Source organism: Homo sapiens, chromosome 14 (assembly GCF_000001405.40).
Source record: "Homo sapiens chromosome 14, GRCh38.p14 Primary Assembly".
In the NCBI taxonomy this organism is placed as follows: Eukaryota; Metazoa; Chordata; class Mammalia; order Primates; family Hominidae; genus Homo; species Homo sapiens.
This window is the reverse complement of record NC_000014.9, coordinates 100,344,570-100,369,489: the sequence shown is the minus strand read 5'-3', so window position 1 is coordinate 100,369,489 and position 24,920 is coordinate 100,344,570. Positions and strand designations below refer to the sequence as shown.

The 24,920-nt window shown below is 45.4% G+C and overlaps 1 protein-coding gene and 1 pseudogene across 16 annotated transcripts in view; one reads left to right on the top strand and one right to left on the bottom strand.

The window, feature by feature from the left end:
• Nucleotides 1-24,920, top strand: part of WARS1 (tryptophanyl-tRNA synthetase 1) — a 42,538-nt gene that overhangs the window by 6,838 nt on the left and 10,780 nt on the right. For 12 of the 16 annotated variants that reach the window (NM_173701.2, XM_024449707.2, XM_047431762.1 and 9 more), the window contains 6 exons: nucleotides 232-403; nucleotides 7,569-7,782; nucleotides 8,828-8,936; nucleotides 14,924-15,043; nucleotides 15,621-15,803; nucleotides 22,644-22,744. In NM_173701.2, the coding sequence (NP_776049.1) occupies nucleotides 305-403; nucleotides 7,569-7,782; nucleotides 8,828-8,936; nucleotides 14,924-15,043; nucleotides 15,621-15,803; nucleotides 22,644-22,744 (826 nt within the window). In that variant the 5' untranslated portion in view covers nucleotides 232-304. The remainder of the gene's footprint in view (nucleotides 1-231; nucleotides 404-7,568; nucleotides 7,783-8,827; nucleotides 8,937-14,923; nucleotides 15,044-15,620; nucleotides 15,804-22,643; nucleotides 22,745-24,920) is intronic. The other 4 variants (NM_213645.2, XM_047431765.1, NM_213646.2 and 1 more) reach the window with 1 other exon arrangement.
• Nucleotides 2,447-2,902, bottom strand: NDUFB3P4 (NADH:ubiquinone oxidoreductase subunit B3 pseudogene 4; annotated as a pseudogene).

Below are 24,920 nucleotides of genomic sequence, written 5' to 3'. Positions count from 1 at the left end.
CAGTAAATCCTAGCCACTCCTTTAGTCTTCATCACTGGCATTTGATGGTTTTCCTCTTCTTCATGGCCCCAAATTTCTGGTTCTCTTTTTATTATATTATCTATGTCCTTTACTGTAACTCACCTCACAACCTTTTCGGAAAAAAGGACTCAATACAGGAAAGGAAAAACAGCCGCGATGTTGTGTTAACCTCTGGTTTTTCCTCTCTCTCCTTCCCCGCCCCCACCCCAGTCTTGACTCGTCTGCTGAACAAATCCTCTGACCTCAGGCCGGCTGTGAACGTAGTTCCTGAGAGATAGCAAACATGCCCAACAGTGAGCCCGCATCTCTGCTGGAGCTGTTCAACAGCATCGCCACACAAGGGGAGCTCGTAAGGTCCCTCAAAGCGGGAAATGCGTCAAAGGTACATGATTTTGCTGGGTTCTCCACGAAGGCAGCTGAGCCTCCCAAGTCTGTAGGGTTGTGTTCCTCTAGAATAGATGGTTTCCTCAATGACTGAGGTGTTTTGGTTATAATTTTTTATTTTTTGAGAGGGAATTTCACTCTTGTTTCCCAGGCTGGAGTGCAATGGTGCAATCTAAGCTTGCTGCAACCTCTGCCTCCCGGGTTCAAGTGACTCTCCTGCCTCAGCCTCCCAAGTAGCTGGGATTACAGGCATGCACCACCACACCCAGCTAATTTTGTATTTTTAGTAGAGATGGGGGTTTCACCACGTTGGTCAGGCTGGTCTCAAACCCCTGACCTCAGGTGATCTGTCCACCTTGGCCTCCCAAAGTGCTGGGATTACCAGCATGAGCCACCACGCCAGCCTTGGTTATAGTTTTAAATGTATTTTTCCTTTATCAACATTGGGATGCCTGTGGTCTAAAGAGTCAGGGGTTCTCAAAGCCTTTGTGAAATACAGTGGCCCTCCAGCCCACCTCTCCCTATTTCCTGCTCAATTCTTTTAGCCGATCTTTTGGTTATGTACTCCCCATATCTGTAAATATTCTGCTTATCATATTGTTCCTTGTTGATTTTCAAGTTGGGGTCTTTCAGGTGGAAATGAAGCATTCGTACCTTCACAACCACTTCCCGTCCAGGCAGTCTCCCCATCTGTATTGCAGTTGTAGTTAGGTCAGTATCTGTACACTGACATTATTATGACCATGGAAATAGACGTGGACAGCTGAACCATCACGGATAGAATGAGTACTCTAACTTTCTCGCCCAGCTTTTGTTTTCTCTGGAGTTAATATTTGTCTTAATATCTGTTTGCTTGACTTTTTTATGTCAATGATACTAATGATAATGTATCTCCAAGCCCTTTCCCTGTCCAGTGAATCTCCTTTCAACACACATCAACTAGTCTATCAAGTTCATCTTCTTGAGGCGATCTCTCCCAAAACCTTCTGCCTGCTTCCCTCTGAAGTGGGGGCTCTTGCTTCCTACACTGCCCATCTTGGCGTCTTTCTTCACTGTCGACCCAAGGGGTTCTTTCACCCCTGTCGATTGGGTGCCCCGTTTCCTGCTCCTGCATCTTTATTCCTCTTTGCTTTACTCTTTGGGCAGAGCAAATCTTCCAATTGTTTCTGAAAAAAATATTGCAAAGGAAATATTTCTAGGGGGATCTTGCCCATCTGAAAGCGTATTTATTTTACCTAAAACATGATTGATAGCCAGGCTGGGTGTAGGGTTCTAGCATGGAAGTGATTTCCCCTGGAAATGCTGAAGCCACTGCTCTATTGGCACCTAGCTTCTGGGCTTGCTGCAGAGAAGTCAGTTGCCATTCCTTTGTTTTTTCTTTTTGGAAGTTAGCAGGATCTTCTTTGTTCCCGTGTTCTGAAATTTCATGGGATGCAGGTTCAGTATGCCTTTCTTTTTTTTTTTTTTTTTTTTTTTGCCACCCCACCCCCGCCCCCCGAGATGGAATCTCACTCTTTCACCCAGGCTGGAGTGTGGTGGCACAATCTCGACTCACCGCAACCTCCGCCTCCTGGGTTCAAGCAGTTCTCCTGTCTTAGCCTCCCAAGTAGCTGGGATTACAGGCATCCGCCACCATACCAGGCTAATTTTTGTATTTTTAGTAGAGACGGGGTTTCACTATATTAGCCAGGCTGATCTCAAACTCCTGACCTCATGATCTGCCCACCTCGGCCTCCGAAAGTGCTGGGATTACAGGCGTGAGCCACCACACTCAGCCTGCCTTTTAGACTAGAAACTCATGGCCGTTAATTCTCAGAAATCATGATTTCTTTGATCTCTTCTGTTTTCTCTCTTCACAGACTTTTTTTTTTAATTCAGAGACTGTTTCTCTGATTTTCTAACCCTCCTATTGTTTTCCATTTCTGCTATCATTTTTAACTTCCAGGAGCATGTATGCTCCCTGAAGTTTCCTCACAGCACTCTGCCCTGACTCATAGGTACAGTACCACCCTTTTCTCTCTGAGATTTTTTTTTTTAATCTTATTTTACTGTATTAAATCTTACTAATATTCTGTAAGGGACAAACCAGACGAGTAGGCTACAGTGAAGAAATCTTATTTTGGAGAGTTAAGAAACCACTATGATACTTCCAGGTATTATCTTCAGTGATGCTTCTTATCTTTATTCAGGGACTCCAGGTAATATTCAGCTCCTACAGCTACCACAAATGCAGCAAATCCCCATTTGAATCCTTTAAACAATACATCAAAAAAGGAAACACTCTTTGCAAAGCCACCCATGTATCTTCAAGCTTCATTGTGGCCCCACGGATCCCTTAGCCCTTTTTCAGCCAGCTTCTTCTGGATAGTTTCTAATGGTGTCCCTTCTGTCTTCCGTTGTCTGTAATCTAGAAGTTCCATTTTACGATGTCCATGCTCATGTCCATGTCCATGGGCCATGTCTGACAGCAATCTGACCTCTCAGGACACTCAACTCTCTCTCTCTGAGATCTTAATGGTAGTTTTCCATATGTCCTCTACATCCTTTATAACCTCAGTTTCTTCCATCTTAATTTGTTTTCTACCTGCCTTTCATATTAGAGGCAATTCTCAACTGTTTGGTGTTTCTTGGCTATTTGCTGGTGTTTTGGGGGGTGCACTGAAAGCTGCTGGATGCACTCTTCATTGGGGAAGAGCTTATCAACATAGGTTCCACTTCCTGGAGAGTGACCAGGCTGCTCCCCTTTTGTTGGGGAATCTTTCGTGTCAAGGTCTTTAGATCTTTTCTTTAAAGTTAAGTGAGATTCCCCAGAGAAAGCTCCCCCAGTCCACTGTTCAGAGGGGGTGAGTCCCGCTGCCAGAGTTCTACGGCTGAGTGGGAGAGAAGGGCTGGGCTGTGGGATCCTTCCCCGAAGCTCCCTATTCTCTGTGTGCTGCCAGTGCCCCAACTGTGCAGACTGCCCCCAGTCTAGGCACCTGTAACTCTGTCCTCTCTTGACATGAAACCTTGGAATGGAGGGGAAACTGTGACACTCCCTTGGCCGAGGGGAGAGGGATTCTCAATAACTGCTTCTTGAAGAGACTTCAACCAGCGCTCCTGTTTTCATAACCCGCTTTCCTGCCCCCACTCCTGTAAGTGCGCAAGGTCACTAAGGCCCGAACCTTTGGGTGATTCCGTAACAGTGTACACTCGGTCACCTTCCAGTATTTCCATGATGTCTTAGCATTTGTTTTTCTCTCATGCTGTTAGGCACTGATCATTCATCAGCTTTCTGGCTTCTGAAACCTTGTTGCTGTCATCCTCTTCTTGTTTCCTTTGTCCTTGTGGGATTATGCTTTAAAAAAAAAAAAAAAAAAGAAGATCTCTGCTTTTGTTGTAGTAGATTTCAGAAATATCATCATCAATACGCATCTTTAACTAGAACATAAGCATTTCATTTCCTTCTGGGGTGACTCCACTCCGGCTTCTCCATGACTTCCATCACTTTTTTTTTTTTTTTTTTTTTGAGGCTGAGTCTCACTCTGTCGCCCAGGCTGGAGTGCACTGGCACAGTCTTGGCTCACTACAACCTCTGCCTCCTGAGTTCGAGCGATTCTCCTGCCCTGGCCTCGTAAGTAGCTGGGACTGCAGGCGCCCGCCACCACACCCGGCTAATTTTTGTATTTTTAGTAGAGAGGGGGTCTTGCCATGTTGGCCAGGCTAATCTTGAACTCCTGATCTCAGGTGATCCGCCCGCCTCAGCCTCCCAAAGTACTGGGATGACAGGTGTGAGCCACCACGCCCGGCCCGACTTCCGACACTTTTAACTCCTGTTATCTGTTATCTTTTCAAACACCTTGCTTGTCACCAGATTGTGTCAACCATCTCACATTCCCCAGTAGTTTACTTTGACTATTTGGGACCCTGATTTAAATCATTATTTGTGTGTGTGTGTGTGTGTGTGTGTGTGTGTGTGTGTGTATTTTTTGAGACAGGGTCTCGCTCTTTCCACGTTGGAGTGCAGTGGTGCAATCCTAGCTCAGTGCACCCTCAAACTCCTGGGCTCCCACCTTAGCCTGCCAAGTTGCTGGAATTATAGATGCAAGCCACTGCACCCAGCTCATATTTTAAATGAAATAAATAGTACTGAAAGAAAGTAATGTCAAAAAAAAGTTACTTTTTTACAGAAAGAGATTTACTCACCAGGTAGGCCTCAAACGATTAAACCAAGTTGTTTTAAAACAAAATTATAAAATAAATAAAAGACCCAGTGGGGTTATGTAAGCCCATCATTTTGGGAAGTTGACAGTGGTATTTTTGTCCATTTAATATTAAATTTGAATAACATTTAGTAAATGTTTTTAGTTAGTAATTCTTAGTGACTGCAGTTATGTTCATTATTTTAGTCAACTTAATACATTTTATAATAACTCTTCCAAGTGTATTATTTGACTAATGCAATTGGCTGGCACACGTTGAAGACATCAGAGGTTGCACAATGAGACCAGAGTTAAGTGGTGAAAAATTCAGAAGTACATTTGTATCTGACCCTGAAATGTCTTGGTAGTAGAAGCACTTGATGTTTTGGAAATTTTAAAAATTAACTTTTAGCAAAATAGTGTGAGCCACATTGGGAGTGCCAGTTCTAAGAGAGGGCACCTTGAGCTCTTTCTTCTCCTGCCATTTATCTAGGCCATGGACCTTGAAGGTCTTTTCTGCTCCAGTGTATCTAAAGAATAAGATCCACATCCTTCAGTAGCAGCAGCTCATTAAAGCGGCAAGTTTCCTAGGGGGAAATAAGTCAGCATCTGAGGGCTGTGAGGGGAAATAGTTTGAGCAGGACTAAAGAAGCAATGCTAGGTCTTAGGTATTAAGAAAGAGAGCAGAGCCTTTTTCTTCTTCTCCTTTTTGTTTAAGTAACTTCTAAAATCAAAATATACCATTCATATAGAAAAACATGCTGATCATAAGCACAAGCAGGCACCTCACTGAATTTTCACAAAATGACCACACCTGTGTAACCAGCACCCAAATCAACAGCAAGCAGAGAGCACCTAGAAGCCACCCTCACGCGCCTCAGCCTCTGCCATGACTCCTCCCACCAGGGGTAGCTCTACCTGGGTTTGAACTGTATGTAATACAGTCTTGTGTCTGGCTTTTTTTTCTGAACATCAGCTTTTGGCGAGGCTCCGTGGCTCATGCCTATAATCCCAGCACTTAGGAGGCCAAGGCAGGAGGATCGCTTCAGGCCAAGAGTTTGGGACCAGCCTGGATAATATAGTGAGACCCTGTCTCTACAAAAAATTTAAAAATTAGCCAGACATGGTGGCACACACCTGCAGTCCCAGCTACTCAGGAGACTGAAGTGAGACCCTGTCTAAAAAAAACTGATGTTCTGGGTTTTTTGTGGGGTGGGGATCTCACTTCATCACCCAGGTTGGAGTGCAGTGGTGCAATCTCGGCTCACTGCAACCTCTGCCTCCCTGGCTCAAGCAATCCTCTGACTTCAGCCTCCCGATGAGCTAGGAACACAGGTGTGTGCCACCACACCTGGCTAATTTTTTCTATTTTTGGTAGAGACAGGGTTTTGCCATGTTGCCTAGGGTGGTCTCGAACTTATGAGCTCAGGCGATCCGCCCGCCTTGGCCTCCCAAAGTGCTGGGATTACAGGTGTGAGCCACTGCACCCAGCTAACATCAGCTTTTGAATCCTGTTTCAGTGTCCTGGTTCAGACACTGATTAAGACTGATTATAAGAAAATAGACAAGGTAAGCCTGCTTGTCTTATTTTGGTGCTATTCCAAAATGCAGATGGTCCTTGAGCAGGGACATTGGTTAAATGTTTGACTTTCGCAGAGCCTCCTAGTTACAAGCAGAATTAGACCAGATAGAGTATGAAATGTCAACAAAGCTAGTTATTAAGTGATATTGACTGCAGTGTACTTCAAAGCAAGGTAAGCCTTCCCATAGATAATTGGATAGATTATACGTACTAAACTGTTATTTTTTGCAAGTACTGAGCCTAGGTACTACAGAAATGAGATGGGTGGAACATACTTAACTATCTAACCTGGGCAAACATCTCATCTATGAATCGTATCCATTGGGTTACTGATTCCACAAATCTGGCTCATTTTAATGATGAGTCTCAGATAATTTTGTAGTTTGAAACACAGATTACTCCAGAATCACAGTCCTTTATGGCCCAAGTGCTATATCTGATGGAATAGTTATCTCTGAATGGAGGTTGGTGTTTATAGAACATTCTGTATATGGTAAAAGGAATTTAAGGAGATTTAAAAGAAAGAATGTTCTGTATAAACTGTAAGTGGAAATGTTTGTATTTCCCTTGGTAAGCAAATTGGGCTGTGTATATTCTTTGTTTGTGATCTAATCCAGCAAGGCCAATTACCAGAATAGAGCTTTAGGGCATAGCATGACTAATCAGCTTAATTAGGCCTGCTTTTCTAAACACCAGGCTTCCAGGGGTGGCCACTATGGACTCCTGCAAAAGAGTCTTTAATACATTTCCAGACTACCCAAGGGTACATTTTACCTTTGTTTTTTTTTTTTCAAGATAGTTTGATAAGACTCCAAAATGTGATGATGTAACTATTTCCCAGTGAATCCCTCCTTAATTTATAACCTGAGAGCCTACATTTTTTGTCCTTGCTTTTATCTGTTTTAGTTGCTCTTACTATCCTTAGTGGCATCATTGGTTAAGTTAACGTAAATATTCATCTCAACCTGTGTGGTATGTAAAAACTAGTTCCAATGCAGAACTCCAGGAATCTCAATTAAAGGAGCTTGTCACACACGTTCTCTGGCATCAGTGGTGTTTGAGAAATCTTTAGCATATGAACTTTGTCATAAATGACAGTGTATATTGTGTCACTGCTACTGTCCCAAAGTGTTCATGGTAGCACTAGAATAACAGATAAAAATGAAGTGTTTTCGAGCCAATGACTTGCTGTGATTCTATGGGTAAGCTCCTCTACCTCTCTGAGTCTCAGATTCTTGAGCTGGAAAAGGACAGTGACAACAATACCTGCCTTGTAGGGTTGTGACACTAACTAAGGTAACACGTGTAAAAGCATTTAACACAGTGCCTGCCACAGAATAGGCATTCAGCACATATCAGCTATTAGTAATACTTTTAGCCATCCCTTTTATTTCCTCTCTCAGGATGAAATTGATTCTGCAGTAAAGATGTTGGTGTCATTAAAAATGAGCTACAAAGCTGCCGCGGGGGAGGATTACAAGGCTGACTGTCCTCCAGGGAACCCAGCACCTACCAGTAATCATGGCCCAGATGCCACAGAAGCTGAAGAGGATTTTGTGGACCCATGGACAGTACAGACAAGCAGTGCAAAAGGCATAGACTACGATAAGCTCATTGGTACGTCCTCTGCTTTCTTCCCAGAAAAAGCTGCAACTTTTAGAAGTGGTCCCATTGAGTTGATTCCATTGATGTTTTTAAATTTTGAATTAATCATAAATTCAGTGAAGCTTCAATGCCAAGAAAAAATGGATACTAAAATCTTTTGGTTGTGCATTATATTCCCAAAGGATTATTTTAAAATAAAATAACAATATAAAATATATTTCAAAATAATGATCTATAGTAGACAGCTTAATAGAAGGTTTTCCCTTTTTTTGAGCACTTCAGAACTTGGGAAAGGTCTATTGAAATGGCCATTTATAACATTTAGTGGCTACAAGTCAATCATAGATTACTTAGGTTTCACCTCCAGTGATACTGACTATGGACCTAGAAGGCTGGAAGTCAGCTTAAGAGCAGTGACTTCTCACATCGGGCAAGTTCTTACTGTCATGCCCTTCCTTGAGGGCCTTCCTGCTCAGGAAAGACTGTTGCCATTCCATTGAAGTCTTTACTCTGAGATCATTGCTAATTATCAGAGAAGAAACAGAACTGAAATGTTTTCATCTAAGTCAAAGCCATTTTCCATGATTTCAGTATAGACTATCAATGAGGGAAAATTCACTTGAAGACCGACATTAATTCAGTTCAACAAATAAAGAATGTGAGAAATCATGGTTGTCAATGAATATAAATTTTACCTTAATAAACAAATATATATATATATACCTATTTATATATGTATATGTTTATATTTTGTTGTCAAAAGTTGCTAGCTGGACTGCATTCTGAATATGTTTCCCATCAGAACCCAGTCTCAGGCAAAACAGCATTTTGTGTTGTAATTTATTTCCTGTTTTGTTGGTTGTGTTGATCTCAGCTGTTGTTTTAATCCAAAGACCTTTTACTTCATGTTGGGGGTAAGGACCTTTAGCAGAAGGCCTAAAGAGGTTTGTGTTCATTAAGATTGTGCATGGATCACTCACTTTTCATCTTCATTTCAGTAATATCTGATCACTAAACCTCCTGCCACCTAAGAAAGTCATCTTTTCTTTTTTTCCAGTTCGGTTTGGAAGTAGTAAAATTGACAAAGAGCTAATAAACCGAATAGAGAGAGCCACCGGCCAAAGACCACACCACTTCCTGCGCAGAGGCATCTTCTTCTCACACAGGTCAGGGGCTCTTCACCACAGGCCTTCTCACCTGTCCTCTTCTTTTAGTTCAAAAAAATCGTAAGACACTCTCTTCATAAGCCACCTGGTACTGTGGGAAAAGTGATGGCCAGCTGTGGTAAGACTGAGATCCATCCTCTGTCCTGTCAGTAACCCACTGTGGGATCATGCTTGTCCATCACCCTCAGGCTCTTAGTTTTTTCATTTGTAGACTGCCCACCTCACAAGGTGGGAATCATATTAATAGCAGGTGAGATTCTTCCCAGATTACAGGCTGTAAAGAAATTATAAAATGTCATGAAAACAAAAGAGAATAATATGTCCAAGATCAGCATTTCCCACATGACAAACAGTAGGCTTCCTGAAATTCCAAACCCTCTTCCTCCTATTGTATTGACTTGCTCATAAACAATACCAACAGACAAACCAACAGAGAATGCATGGAACAGATTATCTGTACCTTAGGCCGTAAATTCCACGCAGATAACGTCAAGATATGGGCAGGTTCCAAAAGAGTTTCTGCCTCTCCCAACCTACAGTTATCTGGGCTGAGGCAGCCCCCTTTTTGAAGCTGTGTCCATGGAATTTATGATCTGATGTAGGGTTGTTCTGTTCTACTGGCACTTCACGCTTACAGGAGAACAACCCCAGGACAGAGCCCAGCAGTCTGCCCAAACACTTCAAATTCTACCTGCAAAGAACTCCAGGCCTTGCTCAACCCACTTTCTGGGTGGAATATAATAAAAAATTTTCCTTAATTCACATACTATAAAACTTATTTTTTTAAATGTACAGTTAAGTGGGTTTTAGTATATTCACAAGGTTGTGAGACCATCAAGACTATCTAATTCCAAAACATTTCATCACCCCAAAAGGAAACTTCTACCCATTAACCCATTTATGCCAGAAGTTGTAAAAATTTTTTGTGAAAAATCAGACCTTGGCAATCACCTTGAGCAGTAAGATATCAATAACTCCCACAAGTTTAGCATTCCAATTTTGGAACAGTAGGTAGGCATAAATGGGTTAACAGTCATCCCCCATTTCTCCCTCCCCACTGGCAACCATTAGTCTGCTTTCTCTATATCTAGATTTAGGCATTTTATATAAATGGGATCATGTAACATGTGGCCTTTTGTGTCTGGCTTCTTTTACTTGGCATAACATTTTCAAGGTTCCTCCATGTTGTAGCATGTATCCATACTGGATTCCTTTTTATTGCCAAATAATATTCCATTGAATGGATATACCTCACATTTTGTTTATTCATTCATTAGTTGATGGACGTTTGAGTTATTTTCACTTTTTGGTTATCAACAATGCTGCTCTGACCATTTGTATACAAGTTTTTGGGTGGATATATGTTTTCAATTCTCTTGGGCATATACCTCGAAATAGAATTAATGGCTTATATAGTAATTCCATGTTTAACTCTTTGAGGAACTGACAGACTTTTCTACAGCAACTGTATCATTTTACTTTCCCACCAGCAACATAGGAAGCTTCCCATTTCTCCACATCTTCACCCACTCTTGTTATTTTCCATGTTGTTGTGTTTTATAGCCATCCTAATAGGTGTGAAGTAGTATTTCATTGTGGTTTTGATTGTATTTCCCTAATGACAAGGATGTTGAGAATCTTTTCATGTGCTTATTAACAATTTTTATATCTTTAGAGAAATGTCTATTCAGATCCTTTGCCTACTTTTTAATTGGGTTGTCTTTTTATTGTTAGTTATAATAGTTCTTTCTATATTCTGGATACTAGTTTCTTATTCAAATATTACTTGCAAATATTTGCTCCCATTATATAGGTTGTCTCTTCACTCTACTGATAGTCCTTTGAAGTATGAAAGTTTTTAATTTTGATGAAGTCCAGTTTATTTTATCTTTGATTGATTGTGTTTTTGGTGTCATATCTGAGAAACCACTGACTAATCGAAGGTTGTGAAGATTTACACCTATGGTTTCTTCTCAGAGTTTTGTGGTTTTAGCTCTTACATTTCAGTTTCTGATCCTTTTTGAGTTAATTTTTGTATATTTGTGAGGTACAGCTCCAACTTCATTCTTTTGCTTGTGGGTATCCAATTGTCCCAGCACTGTTTTTTGAAAAGACTATTCTTGGCTGGGCGCAGTGGCTCATGTCTGTAATCCCAGCACTTTGGGAGGCCAAGGCAGGCGGATCACGAGGTCAGGAGATTGAGACCATCCTGGCTAACACGGTGAAACCCCATCTCTACTAAAAATACAAAAAATTAGCCAGGTGTGGTGATGGGCGCCTGTAGTCCCAGCTACTCGGGAGGCTGAGGCAGGAGAATGGCATGAACCCGGGAGGCGGAGCTTGCAGTGAGCCGAGATCGCGCCACTGCACTCCAGCCTGGGTGGCAGTGAGACTCCGTCTCAAAAAAAAATAAGAAAATGTGAGTACTCAAACATGGTTCTTTTTCAAGATTGTTTAGGTATTCTGGGCCCCTTGCATTTCCATATGAATTTCAGCTTTTCCATTTCTGCAAAAGCAGCAGCTAGGATTTTGATAGGGATTGCACTGAATCTGTAGATTCATTTGTGGAGTATTGCCATCTTAAAATATTAATTCATCTAATCCATGAACATGGGATGTCTTTTCACTTCTTTGATTTCTTTCATTGATGTTTTGTAATTTTCAGTGTATAGGTTTTGCACTTCTTTGCTTAGATTTATTCATTAGAATTTTATCTTTTTAATGCTATTCTAAATGGCATTTTCTTAATCTCATTTTGATTGTTCATTGCTACTATATAGAAATACAACTGATGGCCGGGCACGGTGGCTTACACCTGTAATCCCAACACTTTGGGAGGCCGAGGCGGGTGGATCACTTGAGGTCAGGAGTTCGAGACCAGCCTGACCAACATGGTGAAACCACATCTCTACTAAAAATACAAAATTGGGCAGGCATGGTGGTGGGCGCCTGTAATCCCAGCTACCCAAGAGGCTAAGGCAGGAGAATCACTTGAACCCAGGAGGCAGAGGTGGCAGTGACCCGAGATCGTGCCATTGCACTCCAGCCCGGGCAAAAAGAGCAAAACTCCCTCTCAAAAAAAAAAAAAATACAATTGATGTTTGTGTATTAATCTTATATCCTGAAATTTTGCTGAGTTTATTAGCGCTAATGCTTTTTTTCTTTTTGCAGATTCGATAGGATTTCCTACATATAGGATTGTATCTCCTATGATTAGAGACAGTTTTACTTCCTCCTTTCCAATTTGGATTTTTTTTTCGTTCCTAATTTCTCTGACTTCAACTTTCAATAGGATGTTGAATAGTAGTGGTGAAAGTGAGCATCCTTGTCTTATTCCTGATCTTAGGGGAAAAACTTTCAGTAAAGACTGAATATACACCATTTAGTATAATGTTAGCTGTGGGCTTTCTATATACCCTTCAACATGTGTTTTTATTATGAAAAGATGTTAGATTTTATCAAATGCATTTTCTGTGTTTATTGAGATGATCATGTGGGTTTTGGCCTCTATTTTATTAGTATGGTGTATCACACTGATAGGTTTTTGCGTGTTTAATCAACCTTGCGTTCCTGGAACAAATTCCACTTAATCATGGTGTTGAAAATCAATTTATTTTCAATCATAGTGTATAATCTTTTTTATATGTTGCTGGATTTGGTTTGTGAGTTGCTGAGGATTTTTACATCTGTGTTCATAAGGGATATTGGTCTGTAGTTTTCTTTTAATGTCTTTGGTTTGGTATCAGGGTAATACTGGCCTCATAGAATGAGTTGGGAAGTATTTCTTATTCAATTTTTTTTGGAAAAGCTTGGGAAGGATTGGTATTAATTCTTTTTTGAACATTTGATAGACTTTACCAGTGAAAATGGGGTTTTGGGCTTTTCTTTGTAGGAAGTTTTTTGATTACTAATTCAGTCTTTTTGTTTGTTCCAGATCTGTGTATATTTTCTATTTCTTCTTGGGTTCGTTTCAGTAGTTTGTTTCTAGGAATTTGTCTATTTCATCAAGGTTATCTAATGTATTGGTATACAGTTATTCATAGTATTCCCTTATGTAGTAATCCTTTTTATTCCTATAAGGTCAGTAGTAATACCCCTTCTTATATTCCTGATTTTGGCCGTTTGAGTCTTCTCTTTTATTCCACACCCCCCCCCACACACACACACACACCCAGTCACTTTGGTTCAAAGTTTACTAATTTTGTTGGTTTGTAGTCAGCATTTTTTATCTTAGCATGGCATGGTTCTTCTCACTGCCTTTGTGACTTATTTATTAACTGCAGTATAGTAATACTGTAGCCTCTTGGCTTAGGAAAGCATAGGACCTGAGTCATTTGCCCATTCTCAAATTTCAAACTGCCCCTCTGTCTAATTTTGTCATCTGTAAAATTGGGGATTAAATGAGATCTACTATGCACAGTCAAGCTTCAAGTGGTGGGCAGGTAACTGGGTTCCCTTAGTAGCTGAATGAGTCTCTGCTGGAATCCATCCTCATAAAACATGATCTCAAAATTGGAACCCAGTAAATTTCTGCACGCTTGTCAGGAGCACCTCACCCCAGGACCGAGCACACAGTGAGTTCTCAGATGCTCCACATAAACACAAGAAAAGCAGCTCGTGGCACAGTTACATTTTTTTCTCTTCTGTAAGCCCATATGGTTAGTTGTGAGAACCAAAGAAGGATTCTTTCCTTCCAAAATTATGGGTTATTTTCTTTCCTTATTTCAAAAGCAGTATGTGAGCATTTCATGGGGAAAAAAAATGAAAACTAAGCCCAAAAACCAGAACACCCACAATTGTATCTGTCCAGAGATAAGCAATGTTGACCCTTGGCTTGGGGAATATAAGGAGAAGTCACTTTCAGAATACTGTTCTCTAGATTCTCCTATCCAGACCTCTGGAAAAGGTAGTTATTCCTCTTGTATTTGGGGACACTTTACCCAGAAACAAAGGACATTCATCCTCGAGCGTTGGTTTCCCACCCTGCTGAACATTGGAACTCCTCACGGAGCTTTTTAAAAATACAAATTCCCGGCCAGGCGCAGTGGCTCACACCTGTAATCCCAGCACTTTGGGAGGCCGAGGCAGGCAAATCACGAGGTCAGGAGTTTGAGACCAGCCTGGCCAACATGGTGAAACCCCGTCTCTATTAAAAACACAAAAAATTAGCTGGGCATAGTGGCAGGTGCCTACTATGCCCAGCTACTCGGGAGGCTGAGGCAGGAGAATCGCTTGAACCCAGGAGGCAGAGGTTGCAGTGAGCAGAGATCACACCACTGCACTCCAGCCTGGGTGACAGAGTGAGACTCTGTCTCAAAAATAAATAAATAAACAAACAAACAAACACATTCCCAGAGAGCACCTCAGATCCATTGAATCAGTCTCTGGAGGTGGGGCGCAGGCAGCTGTGATTGGAAGCAGCCTGGTAGGGAGGGGGATGACTCTTGAGTGACTTGCAGATGAAGATACCTAGTCCCAAGCTGGCTGAGGGGCCCAGATAGATCTCCAACTGGGCACTTGACCTCTGAACTCCCAGAGGACAATTCTTACTTTCCCTGCTAAGCCAGGACTGTCTGGTCCCATGCAGTTTGCCTGGTATTGGTCTGAGAGTCCTCGGGGCTGGGTGATTCTGAGCAAGGATCATATGGTGTTGGCCTGGTATCCCCAGGGAAGTGTACCAAGCTCACAGTATGTCGGCACTGATGTTTGGAGGGATTCCAGGAGTCCCAGTAACTGCATAGCTGGATCCATCTTTTAAACACATTATTCCAAACCTACACATCTTGTCTTTTAAAACACTCACAGGAGAAACCATTTCAGTAGAAGTTTCCTGTCTATATTTATATCATAAGCACCAAAGGTAACAAATTCTAGTTATTATCCATGTTGTTTCGTCTCTGTCTATATTTTCCATTTCCAAAAGTGCATTAGTGCCTTGATATTTTTCTCAGAAAATCACACTCTTCCTCTTCTCCTTTTTCCTTTAGAGATATGAATCAGGTTCTTGATGCCTATGAAAATAAGAAGCCATTTTATCTGTACACGGGCCGGGGCCCCTCTTCTGAAGCAATGCATGTAGGTCACCTCATTCCATTTATTTTCACAAAGTAAGTATTGGATCTTATGGCTTTTCTTACTCTCTTAGTGAATTGAGAATGTTGCTTATAAACCATGTTTAGAACTGACAAGATCATGCTAGTTCATTTGCTGAGCAACCAAGATGTCAAGAGTTGGCACTTTTTTGGCTTCCATTCACTTTGTTCCTGGGCTCACTTTAGAGGACCATGGAGTGATGGGGAGAGCGCAGCTTTGGAGTCAGCCAGGCCTGCTCCTCTTCTCATCCTGCTCCCTGTCTGCATGGCCATGGGCCTGCTACTTCTCTGAGCCTAAGTTTCCACATCTGCAAGATGAGAATGAAGATACCTACCTCATAGAACTACTGTAAAGCTTCAAAACAAAGTGTGTAGAGCAGCTAACACAGAGCACACAGGGCCACCTGGTCGATAAATGGTAGTAGACCTTATCATTATCCATAGTCAAATTCATATCACAATTCAAATTGTGATTTTGTAGGCAAGGAAGTTTTAACATACGTTGTAAGTAGGAGCTGTGTTTTCAGATGCACGATGGCGTTCCTCCACAGGGGAGATGAGACGTCAGCTTTCTCCCCCTGTGTTTCTTTAGGTGGCTCCAGGATGTATTTAACGTGCCCTTGGTCATCCAGATGACGGATGACGAGAAGTATCTGTGGAAGGACCTGACCCTGGACCAGGCCTATAGCTATGCTGTGGAGAATGCCAAGGACATCATCGCCTGTGGCTTTGACATCAACAAGACTTTCATATTCTCTGACCTGGACTACATGGGGTAAGGAGAAAACGTCTGGCTGCCTTTTCAATAGGTAGAGGAGGATGTCAAGTTGTCATGACCACAGCTAAATTCGAAACAACTGAAATGGTCTTAAGGCCTAGTAAATGTTCTTCTTCCTTTATTAAATGCTATGAGTGGCCAGCCATGGTGGCTCACACCTGTAATCCCAGCACTTTGGGAGGCCGAGGTGGGCGGGTCACGAGGTCAGGAGTTCAAGACCAGCCTGACCAACATGGTGAAACCCATCTCTATTGAAAATACAAAAATTAGTTGGGTGTGGTGGCACGCACCTATAAGCCCAGCTACTCAGGTGGCTGAAGCAGGAGAATCGCTTGAACCCGGGAGGTGGAGGTTACAGTGAGTTGAGATCACGCCATTGCACTCCAGCCTGGGCAACAGAGCGAGACTCCATCTCAAAAAGGAAAAAAAAATGCTATGAGCTGGTTTATTGGTTTTATTTACCAATAATTTTGAAAGTGAAAAGCTGTGTATGTACATAGAAAGGATTAAGTGATATCAGTATCTTAAAGACTCGATTATTGTCTCCATAATTACATTTACAGAAATTTAAAATATGGGCTCAGCCACAGCATGATGGCATCTCAGATCTTCATCCTCAGCTGTGCCAGGAAGTCCTGCCTTGCAGTTTCTTGCCAAGGATAGTCAGTCTTCCAGAGTTATGTCTTCCTCCTTTTCAACGCACCTTTTCCTCACAGAGAAAAGACTCAGTGGTTACACAGTTTCCTCAGTCTAGTTCTTTTAATCAGCCATTTAATAAACCAAAATATTTCATTCTGAAAATCCTTCAAGTTTCATCCCAAATGATTACCAAGAAATGTGTTAGAAAAATAAGACTTTGGTCAACCATCACAAGAAGGATACTATCTAGCTCAACAAATATTTCTTGAGCACCTGAGTTGTGGTACTCCCCTAAGGTGAGATACTCTTCTAAGTCATAGTACTCCCCTAAGGCGTGGTCTCTCCTAAGGCATGGTACTCCCCTAAGGCATGTTACTCCACTCCCCAAAGACGTGTTACTCCTCCCCTAAAGTGATTCCCCAGGAGGAGTGGGTTCATTGCTATGCTCCTGCAGCCCAGGCTGGGCTCTGAGCAGGCCCTCCCATGTTAGCTCACCATCAGGGACCATGCCGAGGCAGGATAAGAGGGACACTAAAGGGGCAGGTGAGCAGTGAGCACAGGAGGACTTGCTTAGAGCCGCATCCCCAGAACGTTCCCTCTTATAAGACCTTAAAACTGAGTAGTGGCAGCCAGGCGCGGTGGCTCATGCCTGTAATCCCAGCACTTTGGGAGGCTGAGGTGGGTGGATCACAAGGTCAGGAGGTCAGGAGTTCGAGACCAGCCTGGCCAATATGGTGAAACCCCATCTCTACTAAAAACACAAAAATTAGCCGGGTGTGGTGGCGTGCTCCTGTAGTTGCAGCTACTTGGGAGGCTGAGGCAGAAGAATCGCTTGAACCTGGGAGGCGGAGGTTGCAGTGAGCCGAGATCATGCCACTGCATTCCAGCCTGGGCAACAGAGTGAGACTCTGTCTCAAAAAAAAAAAAAAAAAAAAAGAAAGAAACTGAGTAGTGGTTTTATATCCATTGAGAGCAATGTATACCCTGATAGGAAATCTCGCCCTTCTATCAGCCAGTAAAACTGTTAGCTTTTTCTTTTTCTTTTTTTTTTTGAGACGGAGTCTCGCTCTGTCACCCAGGCTGGAGTGCAGTGGCACAATCTCGGCTCACTGCAAGCTCCGCCTCTCAGGTTCACACCATTCTCTTGCCTCAGCCTCCCAAGTAGCTGGGACTACAGGTGCCCGCCACCATGTCCGGCTAATTTTTTGTATTTTTAGTAGAGACGGGGTTTCACTGTGTTAGCCAGGATGGTCTCGATCTTCTGACCTCATGATCTGCCTGCCTCGGCCTCCCAAAGCACTGGGATTACAGGCATGAGCCACCACGCCCAGCACCTATTAGATCTTTTAAAATTACTTCTCTTGGTTCAGCCATGTGAGCATGGAGGCCCTGTGGCATCCTTGAAGGAAGGAAAATAGACAGGGATCCAGATCCTGGCACCTGGGTTTAGTGGCTGTGTGTCATAGCAGCCGTGTCCATGAAATGGGATCAAACAAGAACATAGATGTCATCATTAGCATAATTTTCTTTTTTTTTTTTTTTTTTGAGACAGAGTCTCACTCATGGGTTTTGCCATGTTGGCCAGGCTGGTCTTGAACTCCTGACCTCAAGTGATCCTCCCCGCCTCAGCCTCCCAAAGTGCTGCGATTACAGGTGTGAGCCACCATGCCCAGCCGTGTTAGTATAATTTTCATGGCACTTTATTTCCTTATTCTCACCCCATTCCATACAATGATTCAACTGATTGAACCTCTGCAGAGACAACTGTGGGTTCTGCTTCTCCTTTTCCAGTCAGGCAGTGCTGCTGGCATTGCCCAGTAGCTGCTATCCTCTTCCCACACCACCACTGCCCCCACCAGCCAGTGATCTCCCTAAAACTCAGAGCTAATCTCATCTTCCACTTGCGGGTCTTTCCCAGCTCTCCTCCTTAGATGACATTGAGAATTCTCACCTTTCACTTGGCACACGAGCCCTTTCGTGATTGGCCCTGTGTTCCTCTCCAGCGTCACTGCTACCTCCAGCTCAGTGGAACAGCTTGCAGTTCCACATCCTTCTCCTTTGTACATGCTCTGTGCTGCCCAGAATTCCCACCCACTCTCCTGACCCTGCCACCCCCAGCTTAGCTAATTCCTACACTTTCTTCCAAAGGCATGATCAAGCATCACCTTTTCCTAGGAGCTTTCCCTCCCCACAGCCAAATTTAGATGCCCCTCTCTGGTCCTCCATCAGGCTGGGCCTTACCTCTGCCACATCTGGTACAGTGTGGCCCTCTCCCCACTAGCTGAGTAAGACACATAGTTCCTGAATTTGTGCTCTCTGTGGCCCATCCCCTCCTGGGCCCCACAGACACAGCAGAAGCAAAGCTGAGCCGCTTCGTTGATGGATATAAATGCTGGTGGTGAGACAAGAGCAAGTGCCTATAATAGTCCATGAAGCTGATTCAGCCAATAGATGCACGATGGGGTAGATGAACTTTTGAACAGTCCATGTGAAAAGACCACCACCTGAGCAACCCCACTTTCAGCGCTCTCTGAACGTGGAGTGAGGCCGCCATTCCTCGTGCTGTCTCTTTGGCAACTGCGGTTGCAGCTCCTGACCAGCCTCCACCTTCGCTAAATAAGAACTTCCTTTTTTTTTTTTTTTTTCTTTTTTTGAGATGGAGTCTTGCTCTGTCGCCCAAACTGGAGAGCAGTGGCATGATCTCGGCTTACTGCAATATCTGCCTCCTGGGTTCAAGCAATTCTCATGCCTCAGCCTCCTGAGTAGCTGGGATTACAGGCGCCCGCCACCACACCCAGCTAATTTTTGTATTTTTAGTAGAAACGGAGTTTCACCATGTTGGCCAGGCTGGTCTCGAACGACCTCAAGTGATCCACCCGCCTCGACCACCCAAAGTGCTGGGATGCGTGAGCCACTGCACCTGGTCGGGAACTTCCTTTTTTCTTACAAACATGGGGTAAAGATGAAACCCAGACAGTATGTCAACCAAAAGGGTCGATGATATCTTTTCTTGAAAGGCATTTTATATTGAACCTAAAGTGAGGAGAGACATTTTAAAGGGTAAATCCTCTATTCAAACATTTTACTTTAAGAGTTTCTTCTAAACATTTGAGCATTTTACTTTTCTTTCTTGAATTTAACTCAAAATCTATATCTTTGGCTTAATAAAGCTCCTTCCTGGTGTTTAGGAGCTGGAAATTCAACAAAGCCAGCCATCGCCCTCTTTGAGTGGGAGGGAGGTGGTGAGGCCTCCATGAGGGAGGAGGCCAGTGCAGTTCCCCCTGCACATTGCACATGGCCCCAGAACGGCCTTCCTGCCCAGGGCCCTGAGGGATGCAAAGGCACTGAGCTGGGAGTCTGAAAACTTGTGTTCCAGACCCAGCTCTGCCCCTGCCTGGTCTTGTTCCCTTGGGCAAGTCCTTAAATCTCTGAGCTTCCATGTTCCTGTGAGGAAGGGAGCTGGGTGCTAGTGGGGGGCAGCATAGCAGAGGTTGCAAGTGCTCTGCTTGACGGCCGTCCGCTGTGTGGCCTGGGCATGGGAGGAGCCTTCCACTGTGTGGCCCGGGCATGGGAGGAGCTCCTCTCTGCCTGCTTTCTTCACTCTGCTCCTTTGTTCTACAAATATTTATTGGACATCTGCTATATGCCAGACTCATGGTGGGGGTACAGCAGGGAGCAAAACCATTATCTCAGCAGCTGTGTAAAGCCTCTCTTCTAATGGGGAGAATCAGCTAACAGGTGATCAATCAGGTGATAATAAGTTCTATGGTGATAATAGGGACAAAGGGCAGGGGTAGAGAAGACTGTGGTCAGGAGATGATAGTGCCTGCACTGCATATAAAGTGCTTCAAGCCACGCCTGGCACCTGGGGAGTGCTCAGTAAATGTTGTAATCTAAAATCTCTTCCCACTTTAAACCCTGTCTGAGAGTGAAAAGCAGGTGCCCTCCCTGGGGTAACTGGTGGTTCAGCCACATGTGATATACAGTTAGGTGTGTTCACTGCAGCCAGTGAGAAGCCTCCATGTGCCGGCACTGGCATGGCTGCTTTGCGTGATGGGTCCGTCCCAGCTGTGCAGGGGGACAGCCGTCCCTTGAGGGGAGGATCACACGTGCTCACGGTGCAGCACCTGCATTCACCCTGCAGCCAGCACAGTGGCAGCAGCTTGCAGCAAGTAATGACCAGTCTTCTAAGAAAGGGCAGCGTGCTCTAACTCAGAAATACCAGTCAGACGCCGTGAAGCTACAGTCCTGCCACAGTTTGGGGGTACTGGAGACTTTCCCTCCTTGTAGGGGTTAGGGTGTCCCAGGTGCCTCAATCCCAAGGGCGCATGGAGTCTTTGCTGCAGCCCATCTCCCCAGGTGACAGACAGCTGCTGTCCTTACTGGCTGTGAGTCCTGCTGCGGTGCCCAGGAGGGACCCTCCCTGCCTGCGGTGTTCTTGGCTTGCTTGGCAGGAGGACAAAGGCCGCATCTTTCCAGGCAGTGCTGCTGTTGGCTGTGCTCTTGCTCTCTGTTGTTTCCATTGTGCTGAGTGGGTGACACAGATGCTGGGTTCTCCTGGCATGCCCCTTCACAGTACTGCGCCCGCCCTCTCCAGTGCCCCCCAGGGCCTGAAACTCAGCCGGCTGCTAGGCGAAAGACACAGTCCATCCCTCACGTGCTGCCTCTGCTCAACCTGGACAGGCCTTGGCACTGACCTTGACCGTTACAGGCCTCCCAGCATTGTGCTTCGCCCAGCACAAACGGCCAGTGTTCCTGCACTCCTGACACCCCACCCCACCTGCACAAAGACATTCAGTAGTTCTCCACCCTGCCCCAAAAGTCTAAACTCTTCTAAAGGATAAGATGTGGTGAGAAAAGCATAGGCTTTGGGGCCAGGTGAATCTGTGTTGGGATCCCAGCCCCTGTACTCACTGGGCCTGTGACTATGACCCTGAACTTCTTTGAGCCTAGTCTAACTGTAAGGTGGAGGCAATGCTACTACTTTGAAGGGGATTTTAGGAGTATTGACACATACGCAGCATCTAGCACAGCTCCTGCCACATGGTGCAAACACTTAAAAGACACCAGCCTTCCCCCTTTTCCCTCGTAGTGTCTAACACATGGTAGGGCCTAGAGAAAAAGCTACTGAATATAGTAATACAAAGATGCAATATAAGAAGCCACTTGGCTGGGCGCGGTGGCTCACACCTGTAATCCCAGCACTTTGGGAGGCCAAGGCAGGTGGATCACCTGAGGTCAGGAGTTTGAGACCAGCCTGGACAACATGGTGAAACCCCATCTCTACTAAAAATACAAAAATTAGCCAGGCATGGTGGCGAGCAGCTGTAATCCCAGCTACTCAGGAGGCTGAGGCAGGAGAATTGCTTGAACCCAAGAGATGGAGGTTGCAGTGAGCCAAGATCATGCCACTGCACTCCAGCCTGGGCTACAGAGTGAGACTCTGTCTCAAAACAAAAAAAAAGAAGCCACTCTGGGTTCTGCCAAACCCCTACACCCCACTGTGTTTGCTTCTTCTTCAGCCTAGTTCCTTCTGGTAGTGGAATGGATGCCACACATTCAGGCCTGGTACCCACACCCCTCACCATCCAGAAGAGAGAGTTGGGTTGCTTGAATCAGCCACTGTGGCCTAGCCCTGTTGCTGTGGATAGGGTTAGTTCTGCCCAAACAGCAGGGGGGAGCAGTGGCCAGAGACTAGGAGGACCAGCTGCACTGAAACAGGCCTTCCTCCTTCTCGGGCCGTGGGTTTCTATCCATACGCTCATCCGACAACAAGCAGATGGTCTCCCACAACACAGTATGTCTCAGCTAAGAAGCTCCTGGGGGCTCCCAGACTTGAGCTCCACAGCCCACTGAACTGCTGACCCTGGCAGAATTTAAATTTTTCATGCTAGCTGCAAGTCTCTGAATCTGCTTGTGTTCTTGCCTTGTTTGTATGTCTGCTTCACGTCGGTTTCACACTGGTTTCTGCCTTTCCCAGTCAACTCCACAGGTAAACGTGTGTCTGCTTTGCCTGATGCAGGTATCTTTGCCTACAGATGACTTCCTGGCACCTTCCCAGTGCTTACGTGTTGACCACAATGTGGCCCCGAGTCTGGCCCATGCCACTACTCATTGGCATCCAATTTTAATAACTGTGACTTTGCCTTCAGTGAAGGCCGCCCTCCGTTTGGGATTTCATTCTCGTTGTCTTTGCAGGATGAGCTCAGGTTTCTACAAAAATGTGGTGAAGATTCAAAAGCATGTTACCTTCAACCAAGTGAAAGGCATTTTCGGCTTCACTGACAGCGACTGCATTGGTAAGAGGCCCACTGCTGCTGTGGACCACTCCCTGCACCCTTCAAAAAGGAGCAGAGTTCTGGAGGAGACACATGCCTGGTTTAAATATCTCTGAGATGTTAGCGTTTGCAACTGTCTCTTTAAGTAGGATGCCCAGGCGTGGGTGGGTCATCGTTGTCCTGGAATCTGACTAGCTAGTGTAATGCATTGAGCAGCTTCTCTGGGTTGGGTGAAGCTGCACTTCAGGATGTGAGTCTGTCCCTCTCTTGTCACCCGTCTTAAGGTTTAGAAGAAAGAAAAATCTAAGGATGACTTTGGAGTTCCAACAGCTCTGGTGGGACCCCAGTCAGTGTAGGGTGGCCTTGGATGGAACCCAGGGGTGATGAAGAAGGACAGCTGGGTCTGCTGCCCATGAGAGGGCCTTTGAGTCTTTGTCTCCCTGGGCCTCAGTGTCCCCACATGTAAGATGAGGGGCTTGACACGAGGTCTTCTGGAGCCTTCCCACCCCTGCCCTGCTCTCCTTCCATGGCTCCACCCCAGCAGATGTGCAAATGGTTTGCCTCCCACGTGCATGCCTTCATGGCCCTCTCCATAAATTTCCATGTGTCTTTCAGATGCATTGGCTTCGTAGACTTTTAGACTTTTGGTCCTTGAGACTTGTGGCTGGGCCTTCTGATCCCCTCCTCTACTTGATGTTTGGTGCGTGGCTTCAGGCATAGCAGGCCCTTGAGGCCTTCAGTCAGCTGCCAGCCGAGCCAGCTCCCTGGGATGCGCTGCCGGGGCTCTCCGTGAGGAGCGTTCACCCTGCTTGGAGCCAGAGCCACAGCGGCGTGTGCTCCACAGCGTCAGGGTCACGCTGGGCCAGCCGCGTGCCCAGGGCCCGGAAACCTCTGCGCTCACCCAAGGGTCTGGGTACCGCCACTTGGTGGGGGCTGGCGTGGCACCACCTGTCGGGCCATAGAGAGGTCAAAAGTTCTGCTTCTGCAGGTCTAAGCAAATACTAATGACAGTAATAACAGCAACAACATCCAAAACACTAAACACTTTTAAATATCAAAATACATTCATCATAACTTCTTTTTTTTTTTAATTTATTTATTTATTTTTATTGATCATTCTTGGGTGTTTCTCGCAGAGGGGGATTTGGCAGGGTCACAGGACAATAGTGGAGGGAAGGTCAGCAGATAAACAAGTGAACAAAGGTCTCTGGTTTTCCTAGGCAGAGGACCCTGCGGCCTTCCGCAGTGTTTGTGTCCCTGGGTACTTGAGATTAGGGAGTGGTGATGACTCTTAACGAGCATGCTGCCTTCAAGCATCTGTTTAACAAAGCACATCTTGCACCGCCCTTAATCCATTTAACCCTGAGTAGACTCAGCACATGTTTCAGAGAGCACAGGGTTGGGGGTAAGGTCACAGATCAACAGGATAAGAATTTTTCTTAGTACAGAGCAAAATGAAAAGTCTCCCATGTCTACCTCTTTCTACACAGACACGGCAACCATCCGATTTCTCAATCTTTTCCCCACCTTTCCCGCCTTTCTATTCCACAAAACTGCCATTGTCATCATGGCCCGTTCTCAATGAGCTGTTGGGTACACCTCCCAGACGGGGTGGTGGCCGGGCAGAGGGGCTCCTCACTTCCCAGTAGGGGCGGCCGGGCAGAGGCGCCCCTCACCTCCCGGACGGGGCGGCTGGCCGGGCGGGGGGCTGACCCCGCCACCTCCCTCCCGGACGGGGCGGCTGGCCGGGCGGGGGGCTGACCCCCCCACTTCCCTCCCGGACGGGGCGGCTGGCCGGGCGGGGGGCTGACCCCCCACCTCCCTCCAGGACGGGGTGGCTGCTGGGCGGAGACGCTCCTCACTTCCCAGACGGGGTGGCTGCCGGGTGGAGGGGCTCCTCACTTCTCAGGCGGGCGGTTGCCGGGCGGAGGGTCTCCTCACTTCTCAGACAGGGCGGCCGGGCAGAGACGCTCCTCACCTCCCGGATGGGGTCGCGGCCGGGTAGAGGCGCTCCTCACATCCCAGACGGGGCGGCGGGGCAGAGGCGCTCCCCACATCTCAGACGATGGGCGGCCGGGCAGAGACACTCCTCACTTCCTAGATGGGATGGCGGCCGGGAAGAGGCGCTCCTCACTTCCTAGATGGGATGGCGGCCGGGCAGAGACGCTCCTCACTTTCCAGACTGGGCAGCCAGGCA